The sequence below is a fragment of the Homo sapiens genome, chromosome 11, assembly GCF_000001405.40.
Source record: "Homo sapiens chromosome 11, GRCh38.p14 Primary Assembly".
Classification (NCBI taxonomy): domain Eukaryota; kingdom Metazoa; phylum Chordata; class Mammalia; order Primates; family Hominidae; genus Homo; species Homo sapiens.
Window position 1 is genome coordinate 100,961,482 of NC_000011.10, and position 15,516 is coordinate 100,976,997.

At 36.7% G+C, this 15,516-nt stretch overlaps 1 protein-coding gene across 5 annotated transcripts in view; it reads left to right on the plus strand.

Moving 5' to 3' along the window:
- The window catches only part of ARHGAP42 (Rho GTPase activating protein 42), a 306,654-nt gene that overhangs the window by 274,194 nt on the left and 16,944 nt on the right, over positions 1-15,516 (plus strand). For all 5 annotated transcript variants that reach the window (NM_001367945.1, NM_152432.4, XM_011542616.3 and 2 more), the window contains 7 exons: positions 203-287; positions 928-986; positions 4,190-4,295; positions 11,694-11,853; positions 12,978-13,122; positions 14,576-14,956; positions 15,334-15,490. In NM_001367945.1, the coding sequence (NP_001354874.1) occupies positions 203-287; positions 928-986; positions 4,190-4,295; positions 11,694-11,853; positions 12,978-13,122; positions 14,576-14,956; positions 15,334-15,490 (1,093 nt within the window). The remainder of the gene's footprint in view (positions 1-202; positions 288-927; positions 987-4,189; positions 4,296-11,693; positions 11,854-12,977; positions 13,123-14,575; positions 14,957-15,333; positions 15,491-15,516) is intronic.

Sequence of the window (15,516 nt, forward strand, 5' to 3'; positions counted from 1 at the left end):
TTATTTCATAAGATATATCTTTGAGGTTTAGTGTCAGCTTTTTATCAATTCACGCAAACAACAGTACTAATGTTAACTCTTGGCATTCTAAGAAATGAATACCTCTCTCTTTTGACCTACTTACGTTTGTGCCCATTTTTCATAATTGCATAAGAAATATTTTGAACTGCACAATTTAAACACCTTGTTTTATTCTTTCCAGCTCCTAAATCCCCTCCTGATATTGATATTGATATTGAACTGTGGGACAATAAGACGATAACAAGTGGGCTGAAAAACTACCTCAGGTGAGGAGGGTTTAACTCCTGGTACTCTGGATGTAATCTCTGACTCACCCCTTGAGTAGTAACCACGTGATTTCTTGGAGCCTGTGTCCAGAAGCTTCACTCAGTAGCTCAGTTCCCTTACATAAGGTGAAATAGCATGACATGGTAACATTTACATTTAGTGTTCTGGAACTTGTACTTGATTTTTTCAATAATAATTTAAAAGGCTATATAATATTTTGAGTACTGAATTAGTATTTGTTGTCCCATATGTATATGGGATTTTTATGTACTTTTTTAAATAACAAATTGGAATGGAAAGTTGTGTTGTTTTTGTTTTGTTTTTTAACTATTGTTCCCATATTTGTTCCTCTGGTAAGGTAATTCTGATATTGGGAGACTCCCAGTCTCCCCTCTTAATACAGTCATGGAAAGAAGTACATTGGTGTCTTCGAGGTCTGCGTTTCAGGTCTCTCTGTGGCCCCACTACTGGAACTTTATCATACTGCCAAATCACCCAATTCTTTTATTTACTTATTTATGTGTTATTTTATTTTTAATTGATGAATAACAGTCACCTAATTCTTAAAGAAACACTTAACGTTTAGGGGAGAATAAAAGATTCTACTATTCTAACATGTGTTTCCTTTCTCTGTTGTAGGTGCCTTGCAGAACCACTGATGACTTACAAGTTGCACAAAGATTTTATCATTGCTGTTAGTAAGTATACTTGCATCATATACACATTATAATTGATGTAGTTTTATGCTGCCATACTTAGGCATATATTACTAGTATCAGCTAGTGAAGATTTTTTTCAAGTATTGCTTAAAAAGTTGTTAATCTGGGCCGGGTGCGGTGGCTCAAACCTGTAATTCCAGCACTTTGGGAGGCCAAGGCTGGCGGATCACCTGAGGTCGGGAGTTCGAGACCAGCCTGACCAACATGGAGAAACCCTGTCTCTACTAAAAATACAAAATTAGCTGGGCATGGTGGCACATGCCTGTAATCCCAGCTGCTCGGGAAGCTGAGGCAGGAGGATCACTTGAACCCAGGAGGCGGAGGTTATGGTGAGTCGAGATCGCGCCATTGCACTCCAGCCTGGGCAACAAGAGCGAAACTCCATCTCAAATTAAAAAAAAGAAAAAAGTTGTTAATCTGATATTTAGTAATTTATAATGTGTTTTAGAAGCCAATAAGAAATTGCAGAATTAACTGAAATATTTTGACACTTAGTGAGACCTCATTGGGTAAGTGTGGTGATTATAAAGAACCATGAGGAATTATTATTCTAATTTCATTTTATTTGAATGACAAATACCAGTTTCTTTTAAGAGCAACTAAGCAGGACTCTAAATACGTACAGACGATTATGTCCCTGCACATGCTCATGTGCTGTATTCCTCAATCTGGAGATGAGTCAAATATTTTTGGCAGACAGCAGGTGCTTCCATCAATCCCCTCTCCCTCATATTTTATTTGCAATGATCACATTTATGTCATTTGTTTAGATCTGTGATTGCCGTCATATGATATGAATAGATAGATCAATTTAAAATATTAGCAGGAAGAGTTGACATATGTTATCTGAGAAGTTAGTAACGTGTATTTGTAAACCATTGAGACTGAAGTGCCAGGTACCATCTGAGCCCATCACAACAACCTGTAACAATTAAGAGCTGGCATTTCATTGTTAAGATGTATGAGGTGTGACTACAACCAGATTATTTTTCACAATCCAAGAAATAAATTAGTTGCTTTAGTTTATTTGCACACATTGTAATGTCACAGGAAATGTGTGCTGATAAAAGTGTCAGATAAAGTTGAATGACCTCGGTTTTCAATCCAGCATTTATGACTAACCACATGATCTCATATAAATCTACACTATTTAGTTTTCTCTTGAAGCTCTCCACTCTACCTCCTCTTCATAGAAATCTTTGTAAGACATACAGGACCAGAAAAAATATATAATCTGACCTCTCATTCTATGAACTAGGAAATCAGGACACAAAGTGGGCAAGTAACATGTACAATGACCCTAATAAATTCATGGCAAAATCAGGGCTGCAAGCCTGTTTTTTGTTCTTTTTACTCTTAACCCAGAACCCTTTCTTACAGAAATTTTGCTTTATAACAAAAGAAATTTGAGCTACTTGGCTAAAATGGCTCAATGAGCTTATTGTTTTAGTCAAGCTTTTGGTCACAAGTTTTTTCTCCATTTGCTTCTGTGGCAAATGATGATTATATTATTATAATAATATTCATGACTATGATATTTAAAATATCTTATATATCTTATATATAAGAACTCATCTTTTGTCTGGACCTAACATAGCCATATTTACTAGATGTGAAGTTAAGAAAATTAGGTTATTTGGTTTCAAGCAGCAAAAGTCCAGCTCAGTATAAAGGGGAAGTTATTCAGATCCTAAGAGATATTTCAGTGAATTCCTTGGCAGAACAGAGGTCAGGGTTTCCATGAGCCTGCAACCAGGAACTGCCAAGTTGGGATTTGACATTTCTCTACTCACTCTTTCTGGAGGATCTCTCATCTTTGTTCTCTACTGTATTTCTATCATTCTCACTTTCCTTCCCAGTCAGATTTTCTTGGAGTAGATTTGGTCACTTCAGCCCTGATTTTACATTATCTGCCTTTTCACATATGCGGAAAGATCAGATTTTTGATGTCTCCATTCCAATTGCTAGGTTAGACCTCATGTTTAGCCTGAGCCAGGCTCTTTCCTCACTCCATGTCTAAATAACTGCGCCCAGATGAAATGGTAGTCCCATAATGTGAATCCTATGAGTCAAGGTACTTTCTGGAGAAAGAATTTGGTATAGTGGGCAATCATCCCAGAATTTATTTGCTGCAGTAAGAGAATGTTAAGTGAAGCTTTCTTGTTCTGAAATGTTAGACATTTCTCCAGCAGACATGTCAACATCTTAGCTTTGACTTGGCAGACGACACTTGCCATAAATGAGTTCTTACATTTTACATTTACCGTTGTCATTATGGGCTAAAAATCTGTTGGGCTTGTGTTTATGTAATAATGCTAACATTTCAGAACAGCCCTTCTGTATTGTCTTTATATTTGTAAGATAAGGAGAGGAATCTGGGGCTTCATCTGGTCACACTGGGTTGAATCTCTAGGAGCTCTCTGTGGGTGTATTGCCACACTGCTATGAAGAAATATCCAAGACTCAGTAATTTATAAGAAAAAGAGGTTTAATTGACTCACAGTTCCGCAGGGCTGGGAAGGACTCGGGAAACTTACAATCATGGTGGAAGGTGCCTCCTCACATGGCAGCAGGAGAGAGAAGTGCTGAGGAAAGGGGGAAAAGCCCCGTATAAAACCATCAGATCTTGTGAGAACTCACTCACTATCAAGAGAACAGCATAGGGTAACCGCCCAATGATTCCATTACCTCACCTCCCACTGGGTCCCTCCCACAACACTTGGGGATTATGGGAACTACAATTCAAGATGAGATTTGGGTGGGGACACAGCCAAACCATATCAATGGGCTAATACGTACTCTAATGACTGGCACATTAGGCAGTCTATAGCAATTGCTGTGATCATTCACATTTCTAAAGGTTTGATTCTGTCTTCAGGTAGTAAAACCCAAGCAGGTGATGAGTTTTGGCTGTATCAAAGTATACAGTTCAGTGGCTAAGAGCATCTGTGTGGAATCAGTAGAACTGGGCTTCTTTGGCTTCTCTACTTCCTAACTTCATGACCATGGGCAAGTTACTCAACTTCTGCAAGCCATAGGGAATGATAATGACAGTACTACATGAAGCAATGCCTATGAGGCATGAGGGGTAGGAGTGGTAATTGTGATTAGATTACTAATGTTTACATACCCAATTGAATGGAATTAAAACTTGAGCATTTGCAATCTTTTTTATGTAACAGAATCTGATGATCAAAACTACAGGGTGGAGGCTGTACATGCATTGGTGCACAAATTGCCGGAGAAAAACAGAGAGATGCTGGACATCTTAATAAAGCATCTGGTCAAGTAATTCTCTAACTTACATTGTTCATTTAACTTATTGTTCATTGTTAAGTTTGTTCATGTCTTTTTAAAGTGTGTGATGATGTTATAACATTGGTATTATAATTAGAGTCCATTGAATTTGCTTAAAAAATAGTATGGCAGTTTGTTTTTAAGATATTTCTATGTAAGTGTGTGTACCTGTATATGTTTATTTGCATATAATTATGCAAATAATTATATCCTTTGCAATTGTTAAACTAATGATGAAACAATTAGATGTGTCAACTTAAAAATGAAGGAGTATATAGTTTTTTTTCCTCCCAATTCTTTTAGGTGCATTATAAGCAATGAGTTTGAAGACCAGTGCTCTATACTACTAAAGTCAACAGGTTCCCCTAGGTCAAACTAACACTTAACTGTTAGATTCCCTCCATGTATTCATGATTTCACTTGATCTCTGGAGATTTTTCTAACTTTGCTGCTAGTTTATTCATATATTTACCATCTCTCTTTGTAGATAAATACTGTATTAGCCAGAGCTATCTGCAGAAACAAAAGCAATAGTGTGTGTGTACATATATTTAATATATATATAAAGAGATAGAGATTGGTTGATTTTAAGGAATTGGTTCACTTGATTATGGAAGCTAATAAGTCTGAAATCTGCAGGGCAGGCTGGCAGGGAAGAGTTGATGTTGAAGCTTGAATCCAAAGGCAATCTTGAGACAGAATTCCTTCTTACTCTGGGAACTCAGTTTTTTTTCTTTTAAGATCTTCAACTGATTGGATGAGGCCCACCTACATTTTGGAGGGTAATCTACTCTACTTAAAGACTACTCATTTAAATGATGATGTCATCTGAACAAAATACCTTAATAGAAACATCTAGGATAATCTTCAACCAAATATCTGGGTATCATAGCCTAGCCAAGTTGACATGTAAAATTAATCATTATAAATATTATATCTATCTACTATCTATCTTTCTATAATTTGAAAGCTACAGAGAGAGAGACAAACACATATTTAAGCCCGAAGTGAGTTTGCTATGGTGCTGGAAACAAATGTCTAAATCCAGTTTTAAACTTACTTAAGAATTTCCTGTAGCATTATTTAGTATTTAATAGGGATATTTCCCATTTTAATGAGTACCATGGTTTACAATAAAATGATTAATCCTTCATTGTTCATAATTAGTAATAACCCAATTTATGCTTATTTGAGCCATATACATTTGAAATATAACTTACTTTGCTCATCCTTCCCCAGCATTCCTGGCTTCTTTCTGAACTTACAAAAGGTCAAGCCCTGCTCACCGAATGTGCATTCAGATCACCACAAATTTACTTATAAAAACAGCAAACAGCTAATAACACTCTTGATCCCTGGCAACCTTTCATGGCTGAAAAAAAATTAGGACAGTCTACCTAGATTGGGATTCCAAAGACTAAAGACTGATTCCAAATTTCCATTAATTAACTCTGAGTAACAGTATAAATCATTGCTTTCTTCCTAAGAGTCCTTTTGTTTGCTATCTGTGGTGTTTTCTTTGATTCTCAACTAAATTTAAATATTTAAAAGTGTTATTAAATTACAAAAAATATATATTGTGGGTGGACTTATGTATTCATTAGGAGATATAACATTTTAGAAAATTATTATGGAATTTCTTTTGAATATAAAGGAAAAAGTGAAAGTTGATTTCTCCTAAACGAAAACCTTTTGATTTTACACATGGATATTTGCTAGTGGTATTAAATTTGCCAATCGATGTTTTTAATTCAATAATATTCAGGTGACCAATAATCCTTACTCAGTACAAATGTGAAACTAAACAAAACTCTTGGTTCTCTGTTTGGAAAGCCCACTTAGGAGCACATGACTTTGCTTCATGTATTTGGGTACTCTGTTATTAGCTATATATATATGTTTATAATTGTTATATATTCCTGTTAGACTGACCCTTTTCTTTTTTTTGAGACAGAGTCTCGCTCTGTCGCCAGGCTGGAGTGCAGTGGCGCGATCTGGGCCTACTGCAACCTCCATCTCCTGGGTTCAAGTGATTCTCCTGCCTCAGCCTCCTGAGTAGCTGGTACTAGAGGCATGTGACACCACGCCCAGCTAATTTTAGCTAAATTTTGCATTTTTAGTAGAGACGGGGTTTCACCACGTTGGCCAGGATGGTCTCGCTCTCTTGACCTCGTGATGCACCCGCCTCAACATCCCAAAGTACTGGGATTACAGGCATGAGCCACCACACCTGGCCAGATTGATCCTTTTGTCATTATATTTTATCTTTATCTCTAATAGCATTTCTTTGTTTTAAAATCTATTTTGTATGATATTGGTACAGTTCTTCTGGCTTTCATTTGGTTACTGTTTGCATGATACATCTTCTATCCTTTTACTTTCAACCTGTTTGTATTTCTGAGTCTAATGTATATCTACTGTAGAAAGCATATAGTTGGATCTTACTGTTTTTTAATTCACTTTGATAATCTCTGACTTGATTATATTGTTTAATCCATTCACATTTAATGTTATTATTGATGTGGTTGGACCTATATCTACCATTTTTCTTTTTGTTTTCTATATGTTTCATGTTGTCTTTGCTATTCAGTTCCAATTTTACTGCTTTCTTGTCCTAATAGATTTTCTAGGGCTTATCATATACATCTTATCAGAATGTACTTAACTTAATTCATGTGAGCATAGAAACATTATTTTTACATAATTCTGTTTCCTCTTTCTCCTTTTTGTGCTATCATTAATAAACATGTTATATCTATATATGTTATATCCCAACAATCCATTGTTATAATTATTTATGTAATTTAATGCTTCTTAATGAAGTTGAGGGAAAAGGAGTAAGTACATTTATAGAGTTTGATACATTTATTAACCTTCTTACTTACCATTTTTTAACCTTTTCATTTGTTCCTGTGAATTTGAGTTACCATCTGGTATTATTTTCTTACTCCAGTACAGCTTTGCTTTATGCTTTTCATTTGGGCTGTTACTGTCAAATATATCACATTTTTAAATGTTATAGGCCCAACAATATAATTATTAATACATACATATTATTAAAATTGCATTTTAAAATCAAGAAAAGGAAGGAGAAGAAATATATATTTCTACTCTTTTAATTACATAATTACCTACACTGGGTGTTTTTTTGTTTTTTTGTGTGTGTTTGTTTGTTTTTACATGTGCATTTGAATTACAGTCTAAGGTCACTTGCCTTCAGCCTGAAGAACATCTTTTAGTATTTATTGTGATGCAGATCTGCTAGCAATAAGTTCTCTCAATTTTTGTTTTCCTGAAAATGCCTTTATTTCACCTTCCTTTTTGCAGGTTAGTTTTGCTGGATAGAAGATTCTTAGTTGGCAGACTTTTTTTTTCTTTAAGCATTTTGAATATGCCATCCCTCTGCCTTCTAGCCTTTATTGTTTCTATTGAGAAATAAGCTTATTGGGGTTCCTTGTAGACCCCAGTAAGACTTTTTCTCTTGATGCTTTCAGAATTTTCTTTTTGTCTTTGGCTTCAGCACTTTTACTGTGATGTGTCTTGCTGTGGATATCTTTGCAATTATTCTACTTGGAGTTTGTTGAGCTTCTTGGATATATAGATTAATGTTTTAAATTAAATTTGGAAAATTTTCAGCCACTATATCTTTGAGTATTTTTTTCTACTTCTCTCTTTCATCTGCTACTGGTACTCCCATTATGCATTTATGAGTGTGCTTAATGTCACAGATTTTTTTCTGATGATCTATCTTTCTTTATTTTTTTCTTTCTCTCCATTCCTCAGATTGCATAGTCTCTATTGATACTTTTCATTTCAGCTATTGTGCTTTTCAACTTCAATTTACATTTGGTTCTTATTTTTAAAATAACCTCTCTCTCATTATTCACATTCTCTATTTGATGAAACATTGCCACCACACCTCTGTACTTTCCTTTATCTTTAGACATGGTTTTCTTGAGGACTTTGGATATATTTGTGACTTCTTTGAAGTCTTTTTCTGTTTAAATCTGATGTTTGGGTCTGCTCACAGGCAGTTTTTATTATCTACTTTTTGCCTGGTGTATGAGTCACACTTTGCTGTTTCTTTGCATTGTCATACTTTTTGGTTGAAGACATGGCATTTTAGCTACTGTTTTGTAGCAACGAATACTGATACTAGTACTGATTCTCTCTAGCTTTTATTGTTGTTTGCTTGTTTGTTTAGTGTCTTTTTTTTTTGTTGAGACAGAGTCTCACTCTGTCACCCAGGCTGGAGTGCAGTGGTACAATCTCGGCTCACTGCAACCTCTGCCTCTCGGGTTCAAGTGATTCTCCTGCCTCAGCCTCCCAGGTAGCTGGAATTACAGGCACTCACCACCACACCCGGCTAATTTTGTATTTTCGGTAGGGATGAAGTTTCACCATGTTGGTTGGGCTGGTCTTGAACTCCTGATCCTCAGGTGATCCACCCGCCTTGGCCTCCAAAAGTGGTGGGATTACAGGTTTGGGTCACCGTGCCCAGACTAATTCAGTATCTTTAGTGAACTATTTTAATGAAGTCTATTTCCCCCTCTGTGTGAAGCCTCTTCTATTATCTCTTCAGAGAATGCAGCCTGGGACATGACCACAGTCACCCAGGGATAACAATAGTTTCAGGAGAGTTCTGTTTATTTCCTTAGGTGATCTATAAATATGTCTGCTTCATTTGGTATCACATCCAGCTTGTTAGTTTTCACTAACTGCTAGTAGATTGCTCTGTTGTTTTTGACAACACCCTGGAGCATATCCAGTTAAATTCCAGCTCCTTGCCAGGTCACTTAAAAAAAAAACAAACAGTCTTTGAGATTTGTTATGATGCTAAAAAGGCTCTTTCTGTCTCTTTCCCTAGTTATTTCTTATGATTTAGCGAGAGAGTCAGAGTTTTCTGTTCTTATGGACTCTACCCCCTCTGGGTAAAATCTTTGACCCATTGCTCTTGGCACTGGCTGAGGGAGGTAGTCCTGAAACGAGGGAGATTTTGGCACCAATATTCTTGGCCTGCTGCACCTCAGGTAAAGCCATCCACCCTAGATGTCTGGCTAGTTGGAGGCAAAGAATTCTCTGGGTTTCAGAGGCTGAATTCCCAGTGAGTGCCTTTTGAGTTGCATTCGCTGGGAATTCAGCCTCTGCAACCCAGAGATAGAGGGCCTGAGATATGCTCACAGCCTGCCAACCCCATGAGATACTGCATCACTTGACTTGGGGCTGAGAAGAGAGGGAGCCCTGTCTTCTTGGCCACATTTGCCCAGAGTGAAGTTTTAGTCATATTGAGCTGAGGGTGGAAGAAAGAGGGAGCCAGTTGTACCTCAAAAGCCACAGACTCTCGGCTTTTCTTACTGATAATTAGTAGATTTGCTTGAACAAATATTTCTTTATTCTTTAAGTTTTTTTTATAGAGACTTTAACTGTTTTTGGTTATGGTTTTAAATAATAATTTTTATCCTTTATGATTTTTTCTCTGTTTATTGGATCCATGGGGCTCCTTATGTTCTACCATTTCCATAAGTAGAACTCTTAAGTATATAATGTTGGTTTCTTTATTTGTAAACTCCTAGATTTGAAACAATACAAGTTGACAGATCCTGATATACATTTCCTCTTTTAATAAAAGAAAGAGAGATGTTCCAGGAGACAGCAGTTGAGTATCAGCTCCCTACATGAATTGGGGAAATAAGTAGTAGAACCTGCTGAAATGGTGAGTGGTGGGAGTCTGTATCTATTGAGTAGCCCAGCAGAAAGAAAATTCAATAAAAAGAAAATCAGTCATTAAAATAATCCATCTTCTGTGCAATGTAGTCATTAACCCACCTTTCAAAACCAAGTTTTTGAGATTCCCAAGTTTACTCCTAATGAGCTTAATATTAACTATATTCCACTTTATTTACATTATGGGAACCATGACATTTTAGCAAGAGTGCCTAAAGCTAATTTAATTTCAGGGATAATATTATCTTGAGATCATATACAATTTATTATTTTATTTAGTTCTCACAACAACCTAACATGGGTTGTTATATATATAATTTACAGATAAGGAAACCGAAACCTAGAGATATTAAATAACATAAATGAGCTTACCCAACTTCCAAGAGATGGATCCAAGCTCTGAATCTAGATAGGCTTACTACATTTACATACTACTTTCCTGAGTAGATTTTCTAATACATATTAAGCAATTAATATATAGTATTTGATTATATTAAAAGGAAACTTGGAATGAAACTCTTCTTACTTGAAGTAAATGCTTTCTTAGCTAGTGCTCTCTACGGCATAAGGAAAACGTCAGTCAGCGTGGCAGCTTTCTCTTCCTGTTTTGTGACAGGAGTTGCATGGATAGTCTAAAATCCTGGATTTCCCATAAAATCTTACTTTTGGTTGTAGAATGCAGTTTGTGACGCATGGTCAGTCCGACATAAACATAATCTTGTGTTATACTAATAACCTGACTTGGAGTAAGATAGAAAAGTGAGTGGTTAAACTAAAAGATAAGTCAAACAAATGAGGTATCCTCTAAAGAATGTATCTAATTTCCAGAATAGATTAGTGAACTAGTCAAAGTCGTTCTTGAGAGTTGCTAGGATTACTTCACTCAGGTCAGTGATATCAGAGGTTTTTGATTTGATTGTCAAGCCAGCAATGATGCTACCACATCTCCTTGTCTCACTGTTTGCCTAGCACAGCACCCAATACTAGGGAGGTACTCAGGGAAGTTTTGGATGGATGGATGGATGGATGGATGGATGGAAAGAGGAAAGAGAAAGAAAAGAAACATGTTGGCCAATGATCTATCCCAGGAGCTCAAGGAACCCACTGACTTGCAGTCAGGAGACCTGAATTGAAACAGCCACCTCTGTCCTGAATTTGTTGTGACCTCAAAATACACGTTTCTTTAGGAGCCTCTGAGGTTTTTAAAATTTGTACGATAGGAATATCTGACTTACTGGGAAGACTAAATACAATAATATGTAGGAAAATTCCTGGCAATAGATTCTCAATAATATGTTTGGTGACTCTGAATATAATTGCCACCAGTCTATTCTTAACTGTTTGTTCCAAAAGAAATATAGTAGCATTGAAAATACCAAACAGCTGATCATCTTTCTAGGGTAATTGTACTTGATTTAGGAAATTAGGGGTTTTTTTCTTTAATAGATTTTGTTTTGCCTGTAATTATGTTTTACGTGAGTTAATGTTATCTGTTTACATCTTTTTAGGCCATACTCCAAATGCCAATTGGAAGTGGCTAAAAGTAGGACAATTTCCCTATAATGGCATATTTTACATTTTTTGCACCACAAATTTGATAGAAGAGACTATTTCATAATTTTGAAACATATAACTTAAGATATTTTTGTTGCTTTTTATTTGCAGAGTATCACTACACAGCCAACAAAATCTCATGACTGTCTCAAATCTTGGTGTCATATTTGGCCCAACTCTAATGAGAGCACAGGAAGAAACTGTGGCTGCTATGATGAATATTAAATTTCAGAATATTGTGGTAGAAATTCTGATAGAGCACTATGAAAAGGTAGGCGGAATTTTCATGTGGAAGTGTCAAGTTTTATATCTTGGTTTTATAAAGGAATTTTGCATTTGATCTGTGAGCTCATGAGTTTTGTATAAATTACTTCTTAATGGGGACTTCAGTTTTCTTTCCTTGTTGTTTTTAAGTGCTTCTCAAAATCCTTCAGTTAGGTGGTTTTCTTTCCTTCTACATAATAGACTTCAAAAGGTTTTCTTCTTTACATTGTATGGTAAGTTTATTGCTCCTGTGCAGAGAACATTTTAAAATCACTTTGTGGTTGGTTCTATTTTAACCTTCTCTTTGTATCCCTTTGAAATCAAACTCTTAATTATATAGAGGTAATGTTCTAACTAAACAAAAGAAAAAAATATAGGCAACAGTCTTGAAGTCTTCTCTATATCTAGTCCCTAAGAAGGATTTCTTGAAAAAAGTGAGATCTTAGAATAACTATGAAAATGGGAAATTTTGAAAGCTGAATTAGTTGGAGTATTAAGCAAATTGAACCATTTAAGGTCTAACAATTTGTAATCCTTTTATCTCTGATCTGGTCCTTGTGAGAGAATGATTAAGGCCTTCTCCTCCCCTGGGTCCCTTCCCAGCACCCACAGAAGCATGCCCTTAGTGTCTATCTAAGGGCACAAGCTCTCTCACAATGCAAGAGCACATGGCTGTGTCCTGTAGCTCTGCACATACCTTAACCTGCAGCTAGCCACACTCCTTGGCAGCTCAGAGCCAACAGCATGGCAGCATCTTCTCCTGAGAAGCAAGGAGCCATTCAGTGGGAGAAATGATATAGAGTGAGCCTCAGCTCTTCTCAGGTTATGTTTTTTCAGAGTATGAAGGTGGAAAGAGAGTATTACAATAAAAACCATCAATATGTCTTGTTCATATTTGGAAGGTTTCTTAAAGTTATTGAAAGATCTTCTAGATTTTACTTTTGGGAAATGGGAGAGAATAAAAAAGAAAACCCCGTGAAAGAATACTCCAGATAAATGGAAAAGTTACAATTGCTCTAGGATACTTATATTTTGCAGCTGATTAAGTAGCATATGGTTCAAAGCTTATTTTATAATGAAAGTGGCAATATCACCCTTTTATTGACCTTGGTCCATTTTTCTTATACGTAGATTTTTCATACTGCTCCAGACCCAAGCATTCCTCTTCCTCAGCCTCAGTCTCGATCTGGATCCCGAAGGACACGAGCAATCTGCCTCTCTACAGGGTCTAGGAAGCCCAGAGGGAGGTATACTCCATGCCTGGCCGAACCTGATAGTAAGTGCACCCGGCCTTAGGGAGATGCTTTCTTCATTCTTTGGTTCAGATGTATTTCACTGTATTGGTAATTAGGTAGAAATAGAAGATGTTCTCACTGATGCTCTTTCCCCAACACCTCCTCTTTTATCATTTGTATATTCTCTGTCAATAGTTGTACAGTTGCTTGGGTAAGCAAATTCATTATTGATACAAAAAGGAAAAAAAGAAAAAAGGGCTCAAGGCCCTTTTTTCTGCAACTGTGATTAAGTACATTGGGTGCTCCTTTGTAGCAGGTTCTGTCCTATTGTCAAAGTGGTAAAGAAGAAAGCAAGACAAAGTCTGACTGAAGCTGTCATTTTCTTCCTTCCTTTCACATTATGTTCTTAAAGCATTATCTCTTGGGTATCAGTGTCTGAAAGAGAAAAGATAAAAAGAAACAACACACATTATCATCAACTTACAATTCTGAGCCAAGCCCTAAGGTGATGTGGGTGGCATCTTGACACCATGGCACACATTAAACTGTGGCTGTTCTCATTTTATTTTATACCCCCCACCCCAATTTTTTGCTCACAGTCAATATTTAATAGAAAATAGTCAATTATATATTTTAAAATAACTAAAAGAATGTAATTGGATTGTTTGTAACTCAAAGGACAACTGCCTGAGGAGACGGATACTCCATTACCATGATGTGCTTATTTCAAGTTGCACACCTGTATCAAAATATCCTATGTTCTCCACAAATATGCATACCTATTATGTACCCAGAAAAATTTAAAAAAATAGTTTACTAATTTTTAATTTAGATATATGTGAATGCATTATTATGCTTTATCTGATTTTTCTTATAACTTGCTTTTAGGAACATTAGGAAATAAAACCAGCAAAATAGCCAGTTTCTTACATTTCTATATTCTTAGCAGGAAAGGAAAAAAGCCTTTGAAAATTGAGGTACTTGTAATTTACTACTGACATTTAATGGTGCCTTTGAATGAAAGAAGGCTGAGTACTTTGTAACTTGGAATCAATCACCTATGATCAGAAAAGTAAAAGAAAGCAGAAATATGTTTTTACTATACCCCCTTTCATTGATTCCTTGTAATATCATGAAGGAATCTTATTTCTCTTACTTCTGAATCCTGTTTCATAAACAAATTTTGTGGGAATTCAAGTCAACCCACTTATGCTTCAAGAAGTAAAGTTATTATCTAAAGGCAGGTAGTTCATAGGTACATACATAAACTTCCTAAAATAGCATTGAAAAATACGTTTGGCAAGTTCAAATGCATATTTTAAAGCCTTTCTCCAGTACTGAGGACAGTTCTCCGTACTAGGTAGGGGCCTACCACTTTAATGGGGTCAGGTGGCCGCAGAACACATGGTAAGTTGGAGAACAGAAGGGTTTTGGTGATGCTGTTATCAATAGATAGTTACAGTTGCTTTCATCTCTCTCCCTCCTACTCCTTAGGTGACTCCTATAGCAGCAGCCCAGACAGCACACCTATGGGGAGCATTGAGTCACTCTCTTCTCATTCCTCTGAACAAAATAGCACTACAAAGTCAGCTTCCTGCCAGCCCAGGGAGAAATCTGGAGGGATTCCTTGGATTGCAACCCCATCATCTTCCAATGGACAGAAAAGCCTTGGTCTGTGGACAACTAGTCCTGAATCAAGTTCCAGAGAAGATGCAACCAAGACAGATGCAGAATCAGACTGCCAGAGTGTTGCTTCAGTCACTAGCCCAGGAGACGTTTCCCCACCCATAGACCTAGTCAAGAAAGAGCCTTATGGGCTTTCAGGACTGAAAAGAGCTTCTGCTTCTTCTCTCAGATCCATCTCTGCAGCTGAAGGTAAGGCAGAGTGGAACTTGTGCAAGATGTCATTGTCTCAGTGTCACTTGTGCTGGATTATTCAGCATGGTTAAGCAGGGATAAAGTTAATGGTGGAGAAACTAATGATGCTTATCTACTTTTTTCCTGTGCTTGGATTTTACAACCTAGGCACTGTGACATTTTTCCTGAATCTTTCCATGTCTGTGAAGTGATGTCTTTGTAATTATTGTAGATTTTGATCTCCCCAAGTGATGGGTTGCTGTACTCAAAGAACATTCTGTACCTTCCCATTTGGGCTCAGAGAAAAATGCTTCCTTTTGTTATGCACATGTACGTGTTATTGCTATTATGTTGTCTAATAGCACCTTGCCTATTTTCTTGGGCTTTCTTTTTAGGAAACAAGAGCTACAGTGGATCTATTCAAAGCTTAACTTCTGTAGGTTCCAAGGAGACACCCAAAGCTTCACCAAACCCAGACCTGCCTCCGAAAATGTGCAGGAGATTAAGACTAGACACTGCCTCAAGCAATGGCTATCAGCGGCCTGGCTCAGTGTAAGTGAGCGTTTGTATATTTGCTG